The sequence below is a fragment of the Homo sapiens genome, chromosome 21 (genome assembly GCF_000001405.40).
Source record: "Homo sapiens chromosome 21, GRCh38.p14 Primary Assembly".
NCBI classification, from domain to species: Eukaryota; Metazoa; Chordata; class Mammalia; order Primates; family Hominidae; genus Homo; species Homo sapiens.
The window spans coordinates 18903667-18928465 of record NC_000021.9 but is presented as its reverse complement, the minus strand read 5'-3'; the positions used below and the strand labels follow the sequence as shown (position 1 = coordinate 18928465).

The window sequence follows — 24799 nt, the reverse complement described above, 5'->3', positions numbered from 1 at the left end:
TGGATTAGTTAAGTGTAAGTGATCACAATGGGGACAGCCTATACAGAGGTCACAATACAAATACTAGAAAAAGTGGCACATCATTTTCATTAGTGTATTTTATTTAGCATATCTCTTTTTAAATAACACCCCTTCCCTGATACTTAAAAGAAGAGGTGCTGTTCTCTACTGTCCAGATAAAGAGGCATTTCTAATATGTCAGAATTTGCCACTTTTTTCACCATTAAAAGCCATCTAGTGTAACATGTAGCAAAACCTTCAAGCTTGCTATCACTCCTCTGGGCTCCCTCCAAAAAGCAATTTGTATCAGCTGGCAAGGTCATTAAGGAAACTGGTCAAAATGCAGGTGGGAAATGCAACCCTGTTGGGTAGAGTCTTAATGCATCCATTTATCAGGGATACAACGTCATTTCAATGGTGTTGAGTATTAAACCATGATTTTCCAAGCATCTCATGGCAACTGCCAACTTGGGAGATGATATAAAATGTGTAAGTGTGCAGGCATATTTCTTAAAAGTATGTATATATAGAGTTAAATATATTAATGATGTATGAGTTTATTTCAAAAATTATATGAAGCAAAATTTTTTTTTTGCAAAATAATACTGCAGCATGTCGTATTCTCATGGCACATTAAATACAGTTTTTATCTACTCATTGATTTCTAATATTCTAACTTTCCTTCGGCAAATTGCTAAAACATCATGATCTAGCTACCCTATCCCTAAAGTGATAAAGTTATGCAATATGCATTCTTTTTATTTTTGAGACAGAGTCTCGCTTTGTCGCCCAGGCTGCAGTGCGGTGGCAGGATCTCGGCTCACTGCAAGCTCCGCCTCCCGGGTTCGCGCCATTCTCCTGCCTCAGCCTCCCGAGTAGCTGGGACTACAGGCGCCCGCCACCACGCCCGGCTAATTTTTTGTATTTTTAGTAGAGACGGGGTTTCGCCGTGTTAGCCAGGATGGTCTCGATCTCCTGACCTCGTGATCCACCCGCCTCAGCCTCCCAAAGTGCTGGGACTACAGGAGTGAGCCACTGCACCCGGCCCTGCAATATGCCTTCTATAATGAGTTTCTGGTAGAAAAGAAACTACACACACACACACACACACACCCCGAAGTTACCATACTATGTCTTCAAAAAGTCTAGATATTAACATTGCAACCTTGTCTTTCCTTTCACTTTCCTCAGAAACCCCTTTCCAGAATGCCTGAAGGAATGCTTCAGGCCTTTTGAAAGTATATGCTCAGGAAGGTTGTATTATGTAGAAATAATATTCCTTTTGTTGAATGGGCAGCCATGACCAAATCAAGTTTCTAAGGTTAGTGTTAGATCTCTAGAAAATAAGAAAGTATAATGAATATCTCTTATAATTATTTTTCCTTCTATCTTTTTGATTTCTTCATCAATACCCTGCTGATGTGCATATTATTGGTATACCTTGTTTGTGCATAGGTCTCTCTAATAATAACCTACTCAGGCCAGTCTCTCCCTTAGGCATCATGGCTTTGTCTTTCCTGGTCTTCCTACTCTCTATTCTTTCTCCCATACCACTGAGAAAGCAAGGAAGGAGGGGAGGGAGGGAGGGAGAAAGGAAAGGAAGGAGGGAGGGAGGGAGGAAGGAAGGAAAAAAGAGAGGGAGGGAGGGAGGAAGAACTTACATAAATATATTTTAAGTCCATGCCTTTCACACGCTAGTTATTACTAATAACAGTCTTCATCCCCAAAAGGTCATGTATACTGATTCATATAAAAATGTTCAAGCCCAAAGTGATATAACTTACAGTTTCCATTTCTAAATTTGTACCATTAAGGAATACAGACTTTTATAGATAACTCTCTGAGGTTTACATATTTTGGTAAAAAGGTGAGAGAATGTCTTGTTGAATTATGTTATCACAAAAATCACAATCAAGATGAATATACTTTGACTAAAACTACCAGAATGTAAAAATGGAATCTCAGGCAGAAGAAATAGCAGTTAACAAGACAAAGAGGCATTCAGTTGCCTGGGACGACTGGGAAAAGGTCAGTGTTAAGGGAAATTGGAAAGGAAGACTAGGGGCGTGCTATGTCAGTTTGGTCACCCTTCGAAGCAATCATGAAGATTGAATTAGACATGTACCAGGTTTATTACAGTAAATACGTGTGAAGGATGAAAGAGTTAAGAAACAGGAACAGATGTGGTGAGCCTTCAGTCACCTTGGAAAGGAGAGAAAGAAAGGAGGAAGATTGAATAGGAAGAGCCTCAGATTGCAGCGTGGCTCTGAAAAAGACAGCCAGACTGAAGGAGTGTTCTCAATCAAAGATTTTATGTTTTGAGCAGTCTTGCATGAGGATTCCTACAAACTGAGGTTAAACAACTCTACAAACTGAGCTCAACATACATATTTTTAATCTGAAATCAGATTACAAGTACAAAGGAAGGATATGGTTTTGCTATTGGCTGTATTCATCATTCTCTGAGTATTTTTGCCTGTATGTTTTTGCTCATTATTGTTCTTACAGCTGGAATGCTGCTTACATTGAAGAAATAATACGATTCTGTATCTTTTATAAAGTGTTCTTGGATTTCTCCAAAATTATTAGAATTTAACACATCTACCTCTACATCTAAGTAGTATTTTTCTTATGTCTTTTATGTGACATATTTGCACATACATACTTTTTACTAAAATTTATCCTTCTTTCTTGAAATTATTTCTGACACTGAAAAATAGTCAACGCATAACAAATATGTTAAGTCACTTGGCATAAACTATAAATAATATAAAATATCTACCTTTCAATGAAAAATTACAGACCAAGTAGTATTGATCAAGGGCCCAAAATGACTCAAAAAATATCATTTTTAATATTCTGGGAGTTGCTCTTCTTGTTGAAGTTTCTGCTGCAACAATTGCCAGGTTGGAGTAATTGATTAATAAAAGTGTAATTCATGAAAGCTGATTTATTTAACTCAGATTTCAGTGACATTATGTCTGTGAAAAATAAATTTAGAGTGAACAAAGGATTTGGCAATACTTGGATGTTCTCTGACTTTTCCGGGAACAGTTGCAGAAGCGAAGACTGAAATGCATTAAGCTCAAAGCTGTCAGCCATGACAATGGTCCTAAACTAGAAAGGATTACAAAATAGAGAAACTAATATTGACTGGACATAGAAGCATATGCAAAACAAAATAAAACAAAGAAAAGAAACCATGTATAATGAAGAAAAGAATAAGATATTTCATGACAAGGATTTACCATCAGATGATGAAGTCTGATATTTTTGGATATAATTAGATACTTTAATTAAGAGAATAAACATATCTGGATTTTGACAAAGATCAGAGAAAACTTTCTGCAAAGATTTAACATCATTTCACACTGGATGCCACAAATTGAGTATAGGTGATGTGTGTTTTGTTGGAAAGTTGGTGTGGACTATTCAGCTGATGAGCTAGTTATTTGACACAAACAGCATTGCTGTACCCTTTAGAAACTAACTTTTGAAGATCCTGAACTTGAAAATTAAGCAGAAAATTCATCACTTTACTTTTGCTTTAATATTGTGGACTTGTGACTGGTTTGCCTTTCTTATTCAAGACAGTTTGATATGAATTATTTTGTTTTTAAAGGAACAAGAAAACTGATGTTTACATAGAGTTTATTATGAAAATATGGACAAATTATGTTTGTAAAATTTGCTGTGGTTCAATTTATCTAACAAAGCAAGAAGTGTAACACTTAATCTCCTAAAATTAACAACCTATGTTAACATCCTAATGGAACATGCTTAGCCTTTCCATCAAATATCAGGTCTGGCCCTAATGCCCTCTCAGTATTATAAGCAGGAGCAAAGAAAACCAGGTATATCCCAATATGTCATGCTCTATCCCCTTCCCACCTCCGTTGTAAAAGGGAGGTATTTAATAATTGAGCCTTTCATATTATGGGACACATATTTGGTTACTCTACTTTCATTTTTAACAGCCTTTTTGGGATATAATTTACATGTATAAAATCCCTCCACTTAAAGCATAAAATGCAATGGTTCTTACTATATTTACAAAGTTGTATGAGCATTAACATGAACTGTTTCCCAAAATAAACCTTGCATGCATTCATTAGCAATGATTCCCTGTTACACTCCCCACTTCTCACACCACTCCATGCAGCCCCATTCCTAGGCAACCACTAGTCTACTTTCTGCCTTTATGGTTTTGCCTGTTCTGTACATTTTATCTAAATGGAAATTACATATATGTTTAGATAGTTGTTTTAATTTAATGGGAATCAATGTTTTGTGCTTAGGTTATGCATATTTCATATTTGTGTAACAGGGCTTCCCAATCCTTTTCTCATATACTTTTTCTTAAAATAATTAGAGTTAATATTATTTGTAGAGTACATATTATGTAAATTCATGTATTTTACCTTAGTAGTTTTCTAGTGTGAGGCTTTGGGCTTCAACTATTCTAATAAATATCTCTTTAATAGCCAATGGGGAAAAGTAGATGTTTCCAAGTTATTATCTACATTCAAAAAAGAAAATTACTCATTGTTCTCTACTAACTAAAGAACATAAATACACGTGAATCTTCCTAGACCCAACCTATCAATTTCTAGTTGTTTTTCTGAGTTATGAATGGGTACTGGCCATGACATGGCTGAATAACCAAGTACCTGAGAGGAGCAAGTTTGAAAACAATAATGTCTGTGAAAGTGGAATGAGAATGGACCAGGGGAAGGCACCAAAAGCACTCGGATCTTGGTGTATCCTATCACCACCCACCAAAGAGTAACTACTGCACAGAGCCACCAAAAACCAAATGGAAATAATGGTGCATTAAAAGTACACCAGCCAGCATTTGTCCTCAGCCACCCTATCCTCCTACAGTGAACCCTTGGTGGCTGGTTTGGAGGTTATGAATGACTGTACTAGCATTGCATCCCCTCATGTGCTTCTTCTTACATCGAGACTGATAAAATTATTCCCACTGCTGAATATCTGACCTGTCCAGTATTGGAGACTGCCCCAACTCTCAATATGGTACCATTCTTTGAAGAGACCATCCACTTGATGTCTAGTTAATTACTTAAAACCCCTTTCATCCTGGAGAAGGCAATAACTCATCTTTTTGTGATTCATACGTATATTGCATGTGGTTTTGCCTCTTCTGCCCACGATGCCTCTGCCAGGGCTTTCTGAGTGGCTGGAATTCTGCAAAACTTCCCTTTGGACCAAAGGATCCTTTTGTAGCTAATAATTTTGACACTGGATGCATAAAAAGTGAAACCATTATAACCAATATATCTATATCTATATCTATATCTATATCTATATCTTTACATATCACCCAAAAGTTAGTGGCCTAATTGATAGAATGTGGAATGACTTTTTAGCTAGGATGTCAGCCTGGAGATGGCACTTTGTAGGGCTGCCAATCTGTCCTCTGGAATGGAGTATACATCACATGTCCCCAGTAGCTAAAACGCAAAATGAAAGAAAGGGTGAAGGTAGCATTAACAGTATTCATTATCATTCTTGACCCTTTGGAGAAGTTTAGGCCACCTAACCTTGCAATTTTAGTCTCTGAAGGGTTAAATGTCATGGTCCCTGTGTGGGGTGGATTGTAGATAAAAGACTCTATGACCATCCATAAAATCAGAATATTTCTTATCCTAAAACCATGACTGCCATCTAGCAATTTTGGCCCTCATGTATATCAAAAATATCAAGCCAAATAAAGGAGCTACTAGGTTCTCAGCAGTAATTATTACATAGGGCTAAAGTTGTCACAACCTACTGAGGGGCAAGAAGCAGTAGATCTGAATATGAGACCCTCACTTCAGTGCTTCATAGTGTGTCCATGCCTGATGATAGCAGCAAAGAGCAATTGCAGTCCCAGCATTATAAGCAGGGCTTGGGTACAGGCAAGGTGTTCAGAACTGCTAGTCAAGGATCTGGGAATATAGAATGGGAGGTAGAGAGGGAGAATGATGTACATTTATTATGGCATCAGAATCAGCCAGAACAACACAGACTGTAGCTGGTTTCACTAAGCTTTCATTTTACGGCTTTCATAGAAATTGTGGCAATTACTCTGAAGTAACAGAGTGTGATTGGTATAGGACATGTACAGATTAAAATGAACAAGAAGTGAGTCGTAGAGTTGCTCACGCATATCTGCCGAGAACACTTCTGGATTCACTTGCAACTTTTGTACACAGTTTCCTGCATGCCAACAGCTTCCTACATTAATTACCTGTATATCTCTCTGCTCCTCTGACTGAGGCCTTTCTCAAGCATGACAAAACCACACTTTGCCATACTCAGGTGCAACCTGGAATTGTGATTTTGTTCAGTCTCCTAGGGTCAATAGTCAAACAATAAAAGACAAGAGTCAGAAGAAAACAGGCAGCTTCCCTGGCTTCTTAAGAAAACATTCCGATGTGGGTTACATAGTTTGCAAAAGGCTCACAGCATGAGTGAGCCCTAGTTGCTTTTAATATTGCTATTAGTTAATGAACCTGTTATTACTTTCCTTTTTTCACGTATCACAATCCCATGTGCCTTGCTTGTACTTCCTAGCAATATCTACCACATAAACTGCCTGATCAAGGGTTACTTAAGTGCCTACTTTTGATGGGAATTCAAATGGAAGCTATATATCAGTTTGAAATTAGTTATACGATTTGATTCATCATTTTGATGGAGTAACCTTTAAGATAATCTTCTTTTAAGAATAGATTTTTATGAAGCTTGTGTCATTAATATTCTTATTCCAAGCCCCAAAGCAAAAATATTTGTCAGAGACTGGGGTCCTGGATGGCTCTAAATCTCAATACAGAAGACTGATTTTTATTATTTCAGTTAGTAAGTGTGATAGTCAGAGTAATTTCTCTTCTCCCAAAGATGTCTATGTTCTATTCCCAGACACCTGTGACTAGGTTATATTACATGATAAAGGGGAATTAAGGTAGCAGATGGAATTAAGGCTGCTAATCAGCTGATGTTAAACTAGGAAAATTATTCTAAATTATGCAGGGAGGCTAAGTGTAACCACAAGGGTCCTTAAATCTGGAGGACAGAGGCAAACAAGTCAGTGTCAGAGTGATGCTATGTCAGGGAGAACACTGCTGCTGCTGGCACTAAGATGGAAGGGACCAGAAGCCAAGGAATGCAAGCTGCCTCTAGAAGCTGGAAAAGGCAATTGCATACTCCAGATAGTACACATTTCCTCATAAGGCGTAACTTCTCTTGACTCTGTTATGGGCTGAACTGTGTTCCTCTGAAGTTTCATATATTGAAGTTCTAACACCCGGCACCTCAGAATATGTACTTGGAGATACATCTTTTAAATAGATAATTAACTTAAAATGAGGTCATTAGGTGGGCCCTGTTTTAATATGAGGAATTTAGGACACAGACACATATGTGTATAGCATGAACATGAAGACAGCCATCTATAAGTCAAGGAGAGAGCTTTAGAAGAAACCAGCCCTGCTGACACCTTGATCTCGGACTGCTAGCCTCCAGAACAATAAAAAAAAAAATTCCATTTTTTAATCCACCTAGTTATTTTGTTACGGCAGCCCTGGCAAACAAATATAACCTCTTAAATATTTTGTCATATTTCAAATATAATGATATACTGGTGCTTTTCCATTGCAATATTACATTTATGTAACTGATCACAACACAATTAGTTTTTACATTTTTAGTACACCTCTGAGAAGTAGGAATATGAAGGTTGCATTTTTAGTAGAACATATAGAATTATAAATAGTTATACTTTTATAATAAACCTTTCTTTGAATACTTGTATAAAATCGAATACTACTTAGGACTCAGTTGATGTGCTGGAAGTTTGGAAGCTATTGATTTACTAAAAATATTTGCTCTTTCTCTCTCTCTATTTGGAGGGCAAGGATGATATAAAGCACCTTTCCCATAAAAAAGTAGCACCACTGGACACAATCTTTCTAAGAAGGAAGGTATCCACTCAAACAGTTATTTTCCTTCTGAATTTATATTTTATTTTCAACCACATCTAAAGCCTCTAGAAAATGGTATTGAATGTTAAATCTCAAAGTATGAACAATTGGCACATCCATATATTAGTGATTTCATAATGTCTTCCGGAAAGTAACCTGGCTGATTTGCACGTTCTAACTAGTTGAATCTTTAAAAACTCAATAAATTATTTAGAATAACTTGTAATGTGATTAAACAACTATATATATAAGATGAATCTGGGATATACTTGTAATTTAACCCTGAAAGTAATTCATTGCTTTAATGTTTCAACTTATGTAGAAAAAATTAAGATATGTACAGTTTTTACATTATATTCATGCACACACACACGCATATTAAGGTTCATATAAATAATTTCTAGGTTAGTTGATTAACAAGATGTTTTTCACACACAATTTTATCTTGGCCTCTCATCATTCCTTTAAAACTTATTCTGGCTGGAAGGGATGGGAGTGGTCATCTTCCCCTGTCCCTGGGTGAAAATCTGGGGCAAACCTCATGGCTAACAGAGACTAGAGAAATTACGAGAAATTTTAAAAGGATTGTTAAGTGGCAGCATAAGCTTAAAGCCCTGATTTATTCAAAATTTTAATCACTAATAATATTCCTAATGAAAGAATAACAGCCATTTGTTAAACTAAATTCATGTGCCAGCCTCTAGGTTCAGTGATTAATGATTACCTTGTTAAATTTTCCTGTAACTCATTAAGGTATGGGCTATTATTCTCTGACTTATAAAAGATGATCGAGCCATATAGATTTTTAGTTACTTGCCCAAATTTACATAGAAAATAAGTAGTAGAGCTGGGTTCAAATCCAGGAGTATGATCTGAACCAGCACAAGCACCCGCTACTGACCCCCTGCTAAGCCTCAATCTTACCATTTGTCCACTTTGTCTTTTCTTTAGAGAAGGCTGGGAAGACTGGAGTGAATTAATTTAAAAAGACTGATACACAGTGGACTAGTACATCAAAAATACTAAAATATAGATGGTATTAACGCTTTTCCTCTGTTTAATCTGGAATTATATAACTGCTATGAGATTAGAATAGTGAAGTAGTTTGAATTCTGAATTCAGTTTGAGTGGCCTCACTCATCTAAGTGCTCAAGCCATTGATAATTATAGTACTCACACATGTGCTAACTTAAAAAAATTCAGACAATTTATAAATTTGGAAAGAAGATTTTATTTTATATAAAGGTTTACCACCTACAAGGTGGCCCTCCTGACAGGTTGGGAAGTGTGGCCTTTAGCTGTCAGCAGACACTTTGAAGGAGGAGGCATTGGGGAGGTAGCTTTATGCGAAATGGGCTGGCTAAACATATATATTCAACAGATTATAGGAGCAGCTATGAATATTCATGAAGGTGGTCCTAACACATGTGTACTGAATAAACATGCAGGTTACATAACACCCATGTTCACCCAAGACTTATCATTTAAAGGTATACAATTAGCCCCTATCCATATAAAAGGTCTTTTCAGGATACAAAGGGGCTCAAGTGTGCACCCTCTGTAAACTGGCTGGAATCAGTCCATAGTTAGTGGTCTTATCACGAGAAAGTGACTGATACCAGTCTCTTGTCCAATCAAAGCTGCAGTTATGGCTTGCAGAACACAGGCTGCGGGTCTATGTCTGGTGGTGGCTGGGCTGCAAATTGTTTTAATATTGCTTGTCTTAGGCCAGTGCTTGCCTAGCTACCAGAGAAACAAAACAAAACAAAAACCTATGGCAGTTAGTACATAGTTTATTCTTTAAGTGTAAGGGTGTGTGACTTTACCCTTGCCTGGCATGGTCTTAGGTCTTATTTATAATTTGGCATCTTATTGACACAAAGAGTCCATTCTGTCAGTCTAACGATCTCTATTTTAACACAAATGCCGGTCAATGTCTGGAAAAGGGAGTGGGTATAATGTGGGTGAGGCCTATCTGACCTTCCATCCCATCATGACTAGGAATTAATTTTTAAGGTTTCTTTGGGATCCCTTTGGCCAAGATGGGGTCTGCTTATTCGGTTGCAAGACTTAGGGTTTTATTTTGTTTATAATTGTAATGATAATAATGAAAAAGTAGGGTAGAGGAAGAAAAAGAATATATAAATTTAATGTATGCCAGACCTGTTCGTATTTTTTATACTATCGATATGTTTTGCTTTGTTTTCCATTTTTGCAAGAGCCCATTGAGACTTATACTGTTATTATCCTATCCCTTTTACAGATGAAGAAACTAAGGATCAAGCACCAAGTCAACTGCACAAGATGTTATAATATGTTCGGCTTAACTTGGAACCATTGCAGTATTACCTCAGTCAACTTTCTTTACTATAATTGAAAGTGAATGATTACCGGCTTTTTAGCTAATATCAAAAAAGATTCATTCCAATCTAGAAGACTGCCTGCAAGCAATGCGAACACGTGTGTCTAGTTTCTTGGCAGGGTCTCCCAGTTTCCCCTGTCTTTTTTCTTTCTCCTGATGCAAAATCACAGAATGCTTTGACAGCTCTGTGACCCAGCCAACTTTAGATTTTTCCCAGTAAGCTTCAAACAAAACCGAGATCTCAAACATTCCCAGGCACTGATAAAGTTATCTAGGTTTTTGCCCAAAGCACTGAAAGAAACTGGCCTTGGCCCTGAGCCAAATTTCTTAAACCTTCCTGAATATGCCATAACTGGACCTCCCTCACTAGAGCTGTATTTAGGTAGAACGTGCATTTCTCTCGCTGTCTTCTAGAGGATTGCTGCAGACTGTGTAATAAATGCTTTGGTCTGGTCAACCAGGTGTTTTGTGCTTCTTTGGAATCTCAAACGGCCCGATCTTTGGATGGTTTGGAGCACTCCTTTGTAGGCTGTTTTCTGCAGCCACTCATGAAGTTATTCCAGACAAAGTACTTCCCCATCCTTGCCCTGACATCTGGGTCACACTGAAATCTCTAGACCTATAAAGGGCATCAGAAAACCAAGTCCAGCCCCAAATCACGGATGGTACCTTCCACACACCATGGTTAGGAAGTTCAGCTAAAATACAGAGCAGGTGGGCAACACGGAAGTAAGACAATGTTTTTCCTCCTGAAAATTCTTACCTTCCAATGTGGTTTAAGTAAAAAAGAAACAAGCAGAAGAAGATCCCCATCACCCCAAAGCCCTCAATTTGGAGCCTGGGTCTTGTAGGCACTGAAACGCTTTTATTTAAATTGCAATTTATGACTGTATACCCGTGGAATTCCAACGTAGCACCTCTCTGATTGTCCTTGCAGTTATAACCAGTAGAGGCTCCTCCTTGATGCAGTAGGCAGAAGCCCAGCCAGTGGCAATGCATAGCCATAATGTGTCCACAAGAGAAGTCAGGCTAGACAGCAAAAACAAGAAAGAATGCTGCCCCCATCTCCACAGCCACCACCTCCTTCCCTGAGAGACACGTGTGACATGTGTCACTGAAGCCAGAGGGAAGACAGACAGATATATGGATACGATGGGCATGTAGGTAGAGGTTGTGATATGACATGTTACTTTTTTAGCAGAATTTTTTTTTAAAGTTGTTAGTCATTCGGATTTTCAATCTCAACAGTTTATCTTCAGGACAGATTCCCTTATTTTGGAAATACTTTCAAAATGGAATCTTTTTTAACAGAAAAATTATAAAATAACCTCGTATTTTTCCTGGGAGAAATAAAAAACGAAACTGTGGTGTCATTGTACATGTAAATACAGATGCAGACAACTAAAATGCTAAAATATTATCATTTTATTATGTATTGTTTGTATATATAGCAAGACTTTGCCTTTGAGAAATAATACTTTCACTCACATAAGGGAAAAGAGAGGACTGGTTACCTGTTCAACTACTGTGGCAGTAGAGGTTGGATGGAGTAATGTCACTTGTAGAAGCTGTGTAGAAAAATACGTAGCACAATAAACATGCTACAAGGCTTGTTAATGTATGTGTGGAAAATGTTTAAAGAAGCCTTCCAGGCCATCACCAAATGTGCTGTGACTGAGGAAGGATGAGGCTCTGCAGCAGAACAACCAGTTCATCCAGAAACAGTCTGAATGAACATTTTCCACACATACATTAACAAGCCTTGTAGCATGTTTATTGTGCTACATATTTTTCTACACAGCTTCTACAAGCGACATTACTCCATCAAACTAATACTGCCATAGTAGTTGAACAAGAAACCAGTCCTCTCTTTTCCTTTATGTGAGTAAAAGGTAAAGAAGTATAGGGTGAGTATAAGGTAAAGAAGAACAAGAACTTTTATCTACAGTAAAATCTCCTTTACATTTAATTGGAGCATCCCAAACTCTGTGCTGAGCTGCTTGCATATCTCAGAGTACACCTAGACACAAAGTACATCCATGTCTGAGGTAGTCTTTGCCCTAAGTGAGGGCAGGGAGCTTGTAGTGGCAGGAATCAGATCTCTCCAATTGTTATTATGCTACTAAATTAATGATTATACTGATTTGTAAAGCTAAGATAATGTTTCATAAATTACATGTATCTTTCAAGCAAGAGCACTAAGCTGGATTGAGCAGTGAACATATATATATACACATACACACACACACAACATGAATAATATATTGCATAATATATGTAACATATATAAATAATGTGTATATACAAGGAGAGAAAGAAAAAGAGAAATAATGAGGCCCACAGAAAATATCAGCATATAGGTTAACCTCCCTACCTCTCTTGTGGAAATCTCCATATTTTATTTCTTATCATTTCTCTCAGGGAGAATTTATGAACTGACCATTTAAGTTTACAGTACAGAGTCAGGAAGCCCAGCAACCCGGGGGCACAGGAATGGGGTTGCAGATTCAAGGACAGTCCACAAATCCAGCTTGCATCTTTCATCCAGTGGAAACAAACAAAACAAACAAACTCAAACTCTAGGAAAAAAAATAGCAAATACAATGGAAGACAATTATATAAATGTTTGAAAAAAAGGTTTAAAGAATTATCTATTTTTCCTTTAGTTTAATTTTAAAAAAATCTTAGGCTTTCTGAGAAAAACAACAAGATAATTCTACAGATACAAAAATAGAGGTGGATGTGATTAGGACAGATTGTAAGGAACTCAGAAAGACAACATAATTAAGATTTACCACATTCACATTTGTAGGAAAAATGAAATGTGTGGTGCAGAAAATAAACTTGAAATTGTTCTCAGTTTATGGAGGGAAAAAAATGGAGGAATATAGTTGATCATAAAAAAAAAAAAGATGAGAGAAGAGGAAGAATAGAGACCTAAATTGGAACTGCTCACAACTAACTTTTATTACGCATCTTTGAAATGTAAGAAAGATATAAATTTGAAATTCTAATTTTTCTTGCAAACAGCTTCCAAATGCCAACATTTATTTTTTAGAATGTTTTAATATGCAAATCATAGTGAGAAAAATGCCTTTAATTTGTTTGATTGAGAGCAGGTTCTAAGCAAATCATGAAATAGACAAGGCAATATTAAGTATTGCTCCTTATTACTATTGTTATTTACTACTAACTATTGTTTGGCGGAAAGCTACCTCCATACATAGTGAATTATTACCTAACTTAATGTGTAAACAAACTGCAACCTAACCTGAGTGTATACTCTTGTAACAAGTAGCCTATTCTCAGCCACTCTTAATAGCCAAACCTTCAGCCAATCATAGGCTGACAGCTACCACAACATGCCCAAATAAGGCAAAAGCTAAACTGAATGCAATCAGGCTATTTCTGTAGGTCATTTCCATTTCTCTTTCTGTACATGTGCATGAACTCCTTGCGGAACAGAGCTCTCTGAACTGCTTTTTATCCTGAGTGCTACACTGTTCCTGAACCATTTTTTTTTCTGCTCAAATAAACTCTGTTAAATTTAACTTGTCTTGGGTTTTTCCTTTACTACCGTTAACTAATTTTGGACGTTAAAATGTTTTTACGTTGGGAGGAAGCAGAGCAGGATGGACAAACAGAAGCCTCCAACAACTGTCTGCATTGTAAGAATACCAAATTGAACAACTATCCACATACACACAAAAAAAACCTTTATAAGAAACTTTATAAGATCCAAAAATCAGGTGAGTGATCACAGTACCTGGTTTTAACATCATATTAAGGAAAGAGGCCGAGAAGATGCTGGGAAAGACCATCTTGAACGGCTTACACCACCCCTCACCAGGTTTCCAGCAAAGTTGTATGGTACAGAAAGAGAATCTGAGCACTTAGGGGAGGGAAAGAGCAGTGATGTGGGACTTTGCATTGGAACTCTATGTGCTGCCTGTAGCAGTGGAAAGCAGCATGAAATAGAACTCAGCAAGTGCCAGTGGAGGGAGCCGGCAGCCCAGCCCTAGCCAGAGGGAAATCACCCATCCCAGTGGTTGGAAACTGAGTTCCAGCAAGCCCTGCCACCACTGGTGAATGATGAGCTCTGGGATCCTAAATGAACTTGGAAGGCTGTCTACGCCACAGGGACTACACTTTCTGGGCAAGTCTTGGTGCTGTGCTGGACTCAGAGCTTGTGGACTTGTGCCGTATGTGACATAGCGAGACAACAGCCAGGGTGGCTAAGGGAGTACTTGTATCATCCCTCTCAGCCCCACATAGTGCAACTGGCAGCTCTGGGAGACTCCTTCCCTCTGGATGAGGAGAGAAGAGGGGACAATAAAGAGGACTTTTTCTTACAATTTAGATACCAGCTCAGCCACAGAAGAACAGGGCACCAGGCAGAGTCCTGAGTCCCCCATTCCAGGCCCTAACTCCCAGATGACATTTCTAAACACTCCCTGGGCCAGAAGGGAAACCACTGCCTTGAAGGGAAGGACCCAATCCTGGCAGAATTCATCATCTGCTGATTTAAGAGCCCGTTGGCACTGAATAATCAATAGTGATAGTCAGGCAGTGTGCACCACAGGCCCTTGGGTGAGACTCAATGCTGTGCTGGTTTCAGGTGTTATGCAGTGCATTTTAAGCTGTGGTGGCTACAAGGAGAGACTCCTTCTGCAATCAGAAAGGAAAAAGAAGAGTAAAGAGGATTTTGTATGGCAGCTTGGGTACCAGCTTGACCACAGTGTGGTACAGCACCAAGCTGACTCCTAGGGTTCCCCATTCTAAGCCTTGACTCCTGGATGACATTTCTGGATCTTCTCTGGGCCACAGAGAAGCCCACTCCCTCAAAGAGACAGACTCAGGAATAGCAGCAACTACTACAAGCTGACTCAAGAGTTTTGGAGCCTTAAGGGAACATTGTCAGTATCCAGGCACTACTCACTGCAGGCCCGGGGCAGTGGTCACCACAGGGTGAGGCTCCTCTGCTTAAAGAAAGATGAGGGAAGAGTGCAAAGGACTTTTTCTTGTGTCTTGAGGACCAGCTCACCTACAGTAGAATAGAGCACCAGGTTTCCTAAGGTTCCTGACTTGAAGCCTTGACTCCCAGTTGGCATATACAGGCCCATCTTTAACCAGGGGGGAATTCATTGCCCTGACAGGAAGGAAACAAGCCTGGATGATTCACCACCTGCTGATTGTAGAGACCTTGGGCTTTGAATAAACGTTGGCAGTAGCCAGGCAGTGGTCATTGTTGGCCTTAGGCAAGACCATTAGGCTGGCTTTGTGTCTGACCCAGCACAGTCCCAGTGGTGGTAGCTACAGGTGTGTTTGTGTCATCCCACTCACAGCTCTAAGCAGCTCATCACAGAGAAGGAGACTCCATTTGTTTGGGGAAAAGTAAGGGAAGAGAACAAGAGTTTCTGCTTGATAATCAAGGAATTCTCCTAGATCTTACACAAGACCTACACAAGGCAGGACATCTTTGAGTCTGTAGGAGCCACAACATTACTGGGTTCGTGGTGCCCCCTAATGCAGATACGGCTGCAGTGACCAAAGATGTAGATCACAATAATCAAGCCCCTTCGAATATGTGGAAAGCCTTTCTAGAAAGAACAGGTAAAATAAGCCCAGACTGCAAAAATTATAATAAATACCTAACTCTTCAAGGCCCACAAATATCTAACTCTTCAATGCTGACAAACATTCACAAGCATCAAGGTCATCCATGACAACATGATCTCACCAAACGAACTAAATAAGGCACCAGTAAACAATCCAAGAGAGAAAGAAATAGATGCCCTTTTATACAGATAATTCAAAATAGTTGTTTTGAGGAAGCTCAAAGAAATTCAAGATAACACTGGGAAGAAATTCAGAATTCCATCAGATACATTTCACAAAGAGATTGAAATTATAAAAAAAAAAAAACAAACAAAAATCCAGGAGCTGAAAAATGCAATTGACATACTAAACAATGCATCAGAGTCTCTTAACAGCAGAATTGATCAAGCACAAGAAATAATTAGTTAGTGAGCTTGAAGACAGTCTGTTTGAAAGTACACAGAGGAAACAAAAGAAAACAGAATGATGCACACCTGCAAGATCTAGAAAACAGCCTCAATAGGGCAAATCTGAGAGTTACTAATCTTAAAGAGGAGGTAGACAGATTGATCAGGATAGAAAGTAGAAATGGGATAAGAACAGAGAACTTCCTAAACATAGAGAAAGATATCAACATTTCAACAAAAGACATTTATAGAATGCCAAACATATTTAACCGAAATAAGATTACCTCAAGACATTTAGTAATCAAACTCCCAAAGGTCAAGGATAAAGAAAGAATTCTAAGCAGCAGGAGAAAAGAAACAAATAACATACAGAGGAACTCCAATATTTCTGGCAGCAGAATTCTCAGTGGAAAGCTGACAGCCCAGGAGACAGTGGCAGACATATTTGAAGTGCTGACAAAAAAATCCTTTAATTCTAGAATGGTATATCCAGTGAAAGTATCCTTCAAGCATTAAGGAGAAATAAAAACTTTTCTGGACAAACAAAAGCTGAGGGATTTCATCAATGCTAGACCTGTACTACAAGGCAAGCTAAAGGGAGTCCTTCAATCTGAAAGAATAAGGACATTAACAAGCAATGAGAAATTGTTTGAAGATAGAAAACTCACAGGTAATAGTGAGAACACAGAAAAACACAGAATGTTATAAAATAGTAATTGTAGTATGTAAACTACTCATATCTTGAGTAGAAAGACTAAAAGATGAACTAATGAAAAACAATAATTACAGCAATTTTTCAAAACATAGACAGTACAATAAAAGTAGAAACACCAAAAGATAAAAAGTATAGAGTTTTTAATGTTTTCTCTTTGCTTGATTGTTAGTTTGTTTATGCAAACAGCGTTATCATCAACAATGTCAGGTATTTGCAAGCTTCATGGTAACCTCAAATCCAAAAACATGCAACAGATACACAAAAAATAAAAACCACGAAATTAAAACATACCACCAGAGAAAATCACCTTCATTAAAAGTAATGCCCAGGCTGGAGTGCAGTGGCGGATCTCAGCTCACTGCAAGCTCTGCCTCCTGGGTTCATGCCATTCTCCTGCCTCAGCCTCCCAAGTAGCTGGGACTACAGGCACCCGCCACCACACCCAGCTAATTTGCCTCTATGATCCAATCACCTTCCCCAGATCCCACTTCCAATGTTGGAGATTACAATTCAACATGAGATTCCGGTGGGGACACAGATCCAAACCACATCAAGGGGATTTAGGAGCTCTGTGTAAGGTGTTCCTGTCACCCTCATTACTCAGGAAACCTCAAGAATTTTAGCAGCTCTGTGTCAGGAACCTGGGACGAAAACCACATAAGATTTTTTTTCTTAATGTGTTACATCTCCTCATCAGAGGAAAGGCAATAAAAGCATTGAACTGAAGTAATTTATATATTTCAACTTATTTTCATCTAGAAAATGATCTTTTAGAGATTATTTTTAAACATTGTACCAGATATATTTTCTTTAGAACATTTCTCTATAAAAACATAATTCTCAGAGATCTGCACAGGGACTGGCCTGTGTCCATTGCATGGAAATTACGAACATGATACTCAATCCATGTATCTTGGGCAGTTTATTTTTCCTACTGATTTGTGAAAACTCCAATGAAATAACATTACCATTGACAATTGAAAATGCTCAAATTATTTCACTAGAGCCTGCTTTTACACTGCTATAAAGACACTACCTGAGACTTGGTAATTTATAAAGAAAGGAGATTTAATTGACTTACAGTTATACAATCATGGTGGAAGGTGAATGGGAAGCAATTCAGGTCTCACATGGCGGCAGGTGAGAGAGAGTGAGCATGGGGAAGTGCCAGACACTTATCAAACAACCAGATTTTGTGAGCAATCATTATCAGGAGAACAGCAAGGGGGAAATCTGCCCCCATGATTCAATTACCTCCCACCAGATCCTTCCCTTGACATATGGGGATTACAATTGGAGATGAGATTTGGGTGGGGACACAGAGCCAAACCATATCACAGCTTGATACACATTTTTAAAAACAAAAATGTATTTTCTCTACAAATTAATCAATAATTTAATCCTGCATTTAAATAACTATTTAAAAACATTTGACAAAATATACTATCACCCTCTTTAAATAACCGTTGCCTGATAGACTGAAAATTCATTGCTGACAGAGAATGCTTCTCATTTGCTTTGGTTTAAACATGCCTAGCTTATCGTAAGTATTAAATAATTGTTGAATGAAATAAAATGTGGAATGAATTAATTAACTTATATCTCACTAGCCGCATTCTCTCTCTTCTCATCGCCTCTCTCTCCAGAGGAACAAAACATTGTTGGAAAAATAGGAAGAGACATAAAAACTTTATAAATTACAGATTCATGATCTCCAATTTAAATTTGATTTTTGTTGTGGGTCATTGATATTTTGATTAGTCTCTCATTGTCCTGCTTAAACTCTCATTTCTTCTCATGCCAAAATCTTCACTCTCATTAAGCTGAGGTCATTTCCTAGTTTATTGAGAAAAGATTGTGACAATCTGTCATTAAATAGCTCATTAACTCTCATAATATTTTCCTCAATATATAAGTAACCTTAAGTATTTATTTTATTCCTACCTACTATATGAGTGAGAGAGAGAGAGCACTCTTCAAATAAATATAAAATTTTCTCTATTTCAATAAGGCACTGAATTTTTTCCTCTTTCTTTCCAAACACATTTTACTTCCCCACTACTGTGTTTACAATTCTAGTACTTTTTTTCTTTTATTTTTACAAAGACAAATAAGTTAATGGTCATCGTTTACTATCCCAGTGTTTTAAACTGTACATTAATGTTTCTATACTTTTTGTTCCTTTTTTTTTGAAATGTCACTCTTTTCTCATAATCTCACATTAAAATGATAGCAATGATATAAACAAAAATAGATCTACCACAGTGTTAATTTCTAGAAAAGGAGCCATTAGCAAACCAGAATTTCTTAGAAAATATAGGAAAAATTAGTAATGGAATAAATGAGAAACCTGGGTTAGAGGGAAAATTGCAACCTAAACCATGCATAGGAGAAGACACTGCGCATATTATAGGTGTTTCCTGACTGATACTTTTAGAGAATTAACTATTTTGAAGAACATGTGTGTTTAGTTTCTTCTAATGGAGGCCCTTAAAAGACAAAACAGTTTGTGCTGGCCTGTGCCCCAGCTTGCTATTTTAAGGGAAAGATAACTAGTATCTCTAAGTGTTTTATAAACTACTTTTGAACATGACATTTCAAGTTAGCTCCTATATGCAGTGGGCTTGCACTCAAGGTATGAAGTCTTTTTTTAAAACAAAACAAAACAAAACAAAACAAAACGGAGTCTCACTCTGTCACCCAGGCTGGAGTACAGTGGCGCTATCTTGGCTCACTGCAACCTCCGCCTCCTGGGTTCAAGTGTTTCTCCTGCCTTAGCCTCCCATGTAGCTGGGACTACAAGCGTGTGCCACCATGCCCAGCTAATTTTTTGTATTTTTAGTAGAGACGAGGTTTCACCATGTTGGCCAGGCTGGTCTCGATCTCTTGACCTCATGATCTGCCCACCTCTGCCTCCCAAAGTGCTGGGGTTACAGGCCTGGGCCATCACGCCCGGCCGGTATGAAGCATTTAATGCTGGAATTGTCTGATGACAGTCTTGGGAACATTAAGAAAGACCAGTTAATTCTTGTTGCCCCTTTTTTATTGCAATAAAATACACATATCATAAAATTTACAATCTTCACCATGTTAAGTGTATAGTTGATGGCATTAAATAAATTTATAAAGTTGTACAACCATCATCCACCTCCAGAACTCTTTATATTGTAAAACTCAAATTCTACACTGGCTAAATAATAATCCTGCATTCCCACTGCCCCCAGTTCAGCCTCTGGCAACCACTATTCTACTTTCTGGCTCTATAATTTATAATACTGGCCAAATGTTTGCTACAGAGTGGTACAATACAAGGTGCAGGAAAGTGGTAGGTCAGCATTTGTGCCGAAACAAACAATCTGTGACATTCATTTTCAAAGAATGTAACAGTATCAACTGGACAATGAAAGAAATAAGAACCACCGAGACCTGAGTAAAACTTTCTCATTTAGGAAGAAGCTATCCTGGACTCCCAGGAAATTATGTGACTAATTTAAGTGAGATTATACAGCTACTCATCATTGTTCTGGACACCCTTCGATATGTCCTAACTACCCAAATACATCTTTTATAAGTGTAAGATCTGTTCATTATTCTCTATAAGGCATATTTTTTATCTATTTTTAAATCTCAAATCTGTGATTTTTTTGCTTAAAGTATCACAAAATCTTTGGAGACATTTTTTGTTTTTGAAATTAACATGGCAAACTGCCATTTCATAGATTTATTCTCTGAGATTTTCTCAGGAGAGGCTCGATATGGAAAAAGTACTTAGGAAGAATATGGAACATCTAGATCTTGAGTGATTCTGTAGAAAACTGTGCAATAGAGAAAATGTGAGTGACAATGAAAAAGTTCAACAAACCACAGGGGACATTGACTCTGAAACTTTTAATGTCCACTAGGTTTAAGTCACTAGTTGAAATGTGTGTTGTGGCTGGGCATTAGCCCTGAGTAAAAAGCACCTTTCAGAATCTAGAAATTATTCTCCCAGAATGGTTTTGTCAATTAAGGATACATTTGGCAGCATGTAACAGACGTTTCAAATAACACTGGCTTTAAAACAGAATTCCTTTTCTCATGGTTTACTGAGAAATCTTGAGATAAGCATATGGTGACAGTCACTCAGCAGCTCACTGACATTAGGGTCACACTCTCTTCAGCTATGTTCATCATTTCAAGAAGGCTTCTGAACCTCCAGGCAGTAAAATAGAGAAAGAAAAATGATGTGGTAGGACTGTACTTAAAAGATATTACACCTCGTTTTATATATAGCATTATTAAATAAGACAGTGGAGTTTGGGAACAAAATTAGAACATCAGGCTGCTGTATGGAATATAGAATAAATAAACATAATCTTAACTTGATTTATATCAGAGTGGACATTGACAATAGGTGGGTATAATATCAACTTTATAATAAAGGATGCAAGGCTTCTAGCTCCACCTTAAGCCACAAGCAGAAAATCAACTCCAGTTGGACTAAATACTTACATGTGAAAGGTACATTATAAAACTTTAGAGGACAATAAGAAGTAATCCACAATTTTGAAACGGCAGGTGATTTCTCAAAAGAAACAAGCATATAAAATATAAAGAAATACATTGATAAATCTATCAACATTAAAGTTACAAATTTCTGTTTTAGCATATGTCATAAAAAGTAAAAATACAGTCATCCCCCCTCTATATCTATGGGAGATTTCTTTTTTCCAGGGCCCACTCTCCCTCTCCCCCTGCAGACACCACAATCCGTGGGTGCTCAAGTCCCTTATATGAAATGGCAATAGTACTTACATGTAGCCTACTACACATTCTCCCGTATACTTTAAATCATCCCTAGGTCAACTTGTAATAAATAATACAATGCCTACATATCATTTCATTTACATGAGCTCAGCACAGGACTCAGTGTCTGACAAATTCCAGTTTTACTTTCTGAAATTTTGCAAAATTTTATTTGAATATTTTGAATCTGCAATTGATTGAATTCATGGATGCAGAACCCAGGGATTTAAAGGGCTGACTGTACAAATAGTAAATCAGGATGAGCTATATTAATCAAATAACTGATGAAACATTAATATCTACATTATATAAATATGAAAAAAACATAGAAATTAAAAAACAAAAGAAAAAGACAAACAACCAGAAAGAAAGAAATGCAAGCATCATGAACTGAGATCCCATGGAAGAGACAGGAATAGTCTATAAACTTTCGACACTGGTAATACCCAGAAAAATGCAATCTGAAATTAAAATTAAGTGCCATTTTTAAGTCCTTGATGTTGGTAGAAAACTAGAAATTAGATTATGGAGAGTGTGAAGGAGGTAATGGAGGAATCGATCTGTTGCTCACTGCCGGTTCATGTGAAAGTGGAGCATTTTATTTTAGAGGGAGTTTGGTGTACTTAAAGTCTTAGCTCAATAAAGAGTGAAGGAAATAGGGAAGCGAGGAAGGAAGAGAGTAAAGTAATGTAGAGCGGCACTGAAACCTCCCAGGAAATACTGCTGTTTGCTCAGTGAAGTAAATTTTCTCTGGAGAAGTTTTATGAACCCACTACACTGAAGAAAAGACTATTAAGAGAGACAGAGCGTGAGAAATGTGTTCTTTTAAGCCCCGTCTCCTGTCTTTTCTTGATCAAAAGGCATCTCAGTCTGTACAAAATGTGGAGCACTTCAGAGGAGTAGAAAGGCCCTTCAGGCCTTGTGTGATCTGGCTGGATTAGTCCCAAAACCTCTAGCTAAAGTGACAACTACCAAGTTGAGCACAATGATTTTGGAGATGAGACAATGACTGAGGTTCTCCACTGAACCAGTAGCCAAGATTCTGACATCAATAAATACGGAGAGGTATCTATTTTAGCCCAGTTCATCCACTAAAGTTAAATATATGCAGCCCAGCAACTCCAATTCTAAACAAACTCCTGTGTATATAATCTAGGAGTTATGTACAAAGGAGCTTTTCTTAGAAATAGTTGGGGTTAAAAACAAAAGAGGTGACAAACCAAACAAAAAACCCGTTCACACCCCTTAAATGAGTGTCAAGAGTAGACCGAACATAAAATGCAGAAAAAAAAGAAAAAACTGTAGTTACAGAAATCAACCTGAAGAAACGTCACAAAACCAATGTTGGAAAAAGCAGCCAAATCACAAAACATTGCACACAACATGACTGTATTTAAATATAAATTTCAAAATTACTAAACTATAAATATTATTTCTAAACAAAAATTTCTAATATAAACAGGCTTTCATTCATGGAATGAGAACAGCAGCTACAAATGAAAAGTGTTCTACAAGGAGTTTCTGAGATACTGGGAATACAACACTTAAGATAGTGAATATTTGAGTGTGTATTGTATTGTTATTTATATTAATTATACCTTTTATAAATTATTCATTTATATAAACATTTCACGAAACCAAACACATTACATAGTTATCTAGAATAGTCAGTGAAATGATTCAGATTGCTAATATTTAAATAATGCTTTATTAGTTTTGAATGTTTAATTATGTTAAAAAATAATGATTTAACCTACAACTAGACTATTATAACTTTTTTCTTAATTTTTTTGGTATTAGATTGAACTCTAAATAAATATAATTCCAATTCTTTGGAGAAACATTGGAAAGCAATAGTAAAAGAGTACTCTGGTTACCTTTTTGATTGTTTAGACTTTTGGAAATAGCTCGACCCTCCAAATACACTTATGAACTAATGTTTTGTTTTACCAATAAATTCATCAGATATCCTATTTGAGATGTGTTACATTGCTATTGTCTCTTTGCCAGTAAAACAAATATAATTGCATACTCCAAATTGAATAGTTGGAAAACATACAAAAAGAGTAATTTGGATTTGCTTATTTGAGAATAAAATAGAACTATTACTGTTTTTTCATTTAAGTTTCTCAGATTATACATTTCACCTGCTCACTGGACACACTGGTAATAATTGGGATAGACAAGCAGAATGCTTTTGGACAGATTGTTACTGATTGATTTGACAAACCATTAAAAGTATGACAGCTCTATTAAAGGTATTATTTTAAATAAAATAATTGAAAAATATATTTAAGGCACTCTTCCAGTCGTGAAAAATCTCATAAAAGTAAATAAAACATTAAATGATAAAACAATAAAAGAAAGGGTGACATCATTTACACAATAGGTCACTATATTCCATAGACACTAAGCTTAAGAGTGTGAACGAGTTTTGATTCACAGAGTATGGGCAAATCATACAATACATTTGCAATTTCCCCTATTCATTCTGTGTGGGTGAATGTATATTTACCTTTCAAGATTAAATAAATAATATACATGCTAACTCTGATACATAGTTCATGTTTAATAAGCATCATATTCCTTACATTAAGTAAAATATTATAAAAAGTAATGGTAAACAACTGCATTAATTACAAACCAAATAATCATTTCTATTGCTTCAAAGCATTAGACTTATGTTTATTTAAATTTCAAACTAATTTTTAAAACCTAAGAGAAGTGTGACAACACTACTAAAACTTTTCAAATAAAGGGAACACACAGGAAATCTGAATCTATGAAAACAAATGACAAGTCAAATCTATTTCATTTATCTACCTTTGTCTTCTGTTAGTCACTGCATTTTTGTTGATGGAGCTCACATATCCTTATATTCAAGAAGAAATAAACCATTAAAAATGAAAAAAAATTATTTTTCCTACTACTTATTTTCAGCTATATG

General features: G+C 37.0%; 1 annotated feature.

Moving 5' to 3' along the window:
* Positions 887-1065: a silencer, noted in NCBI's record as "fragment chr21:20299719-20299897 (GRCh37/hg19 assembly coordinates)". NCBI's record gives its function as "represses an EF-1alpha promoter that drives an FKBP-Casp9 reporter gene in an ReSE screen in K562 erythroleukemia cells {active_cell/tissue: K562}" and the evidence as "EXISTENCE:reporter gene assay evidence [ECO:0000049][PMID:32094911]".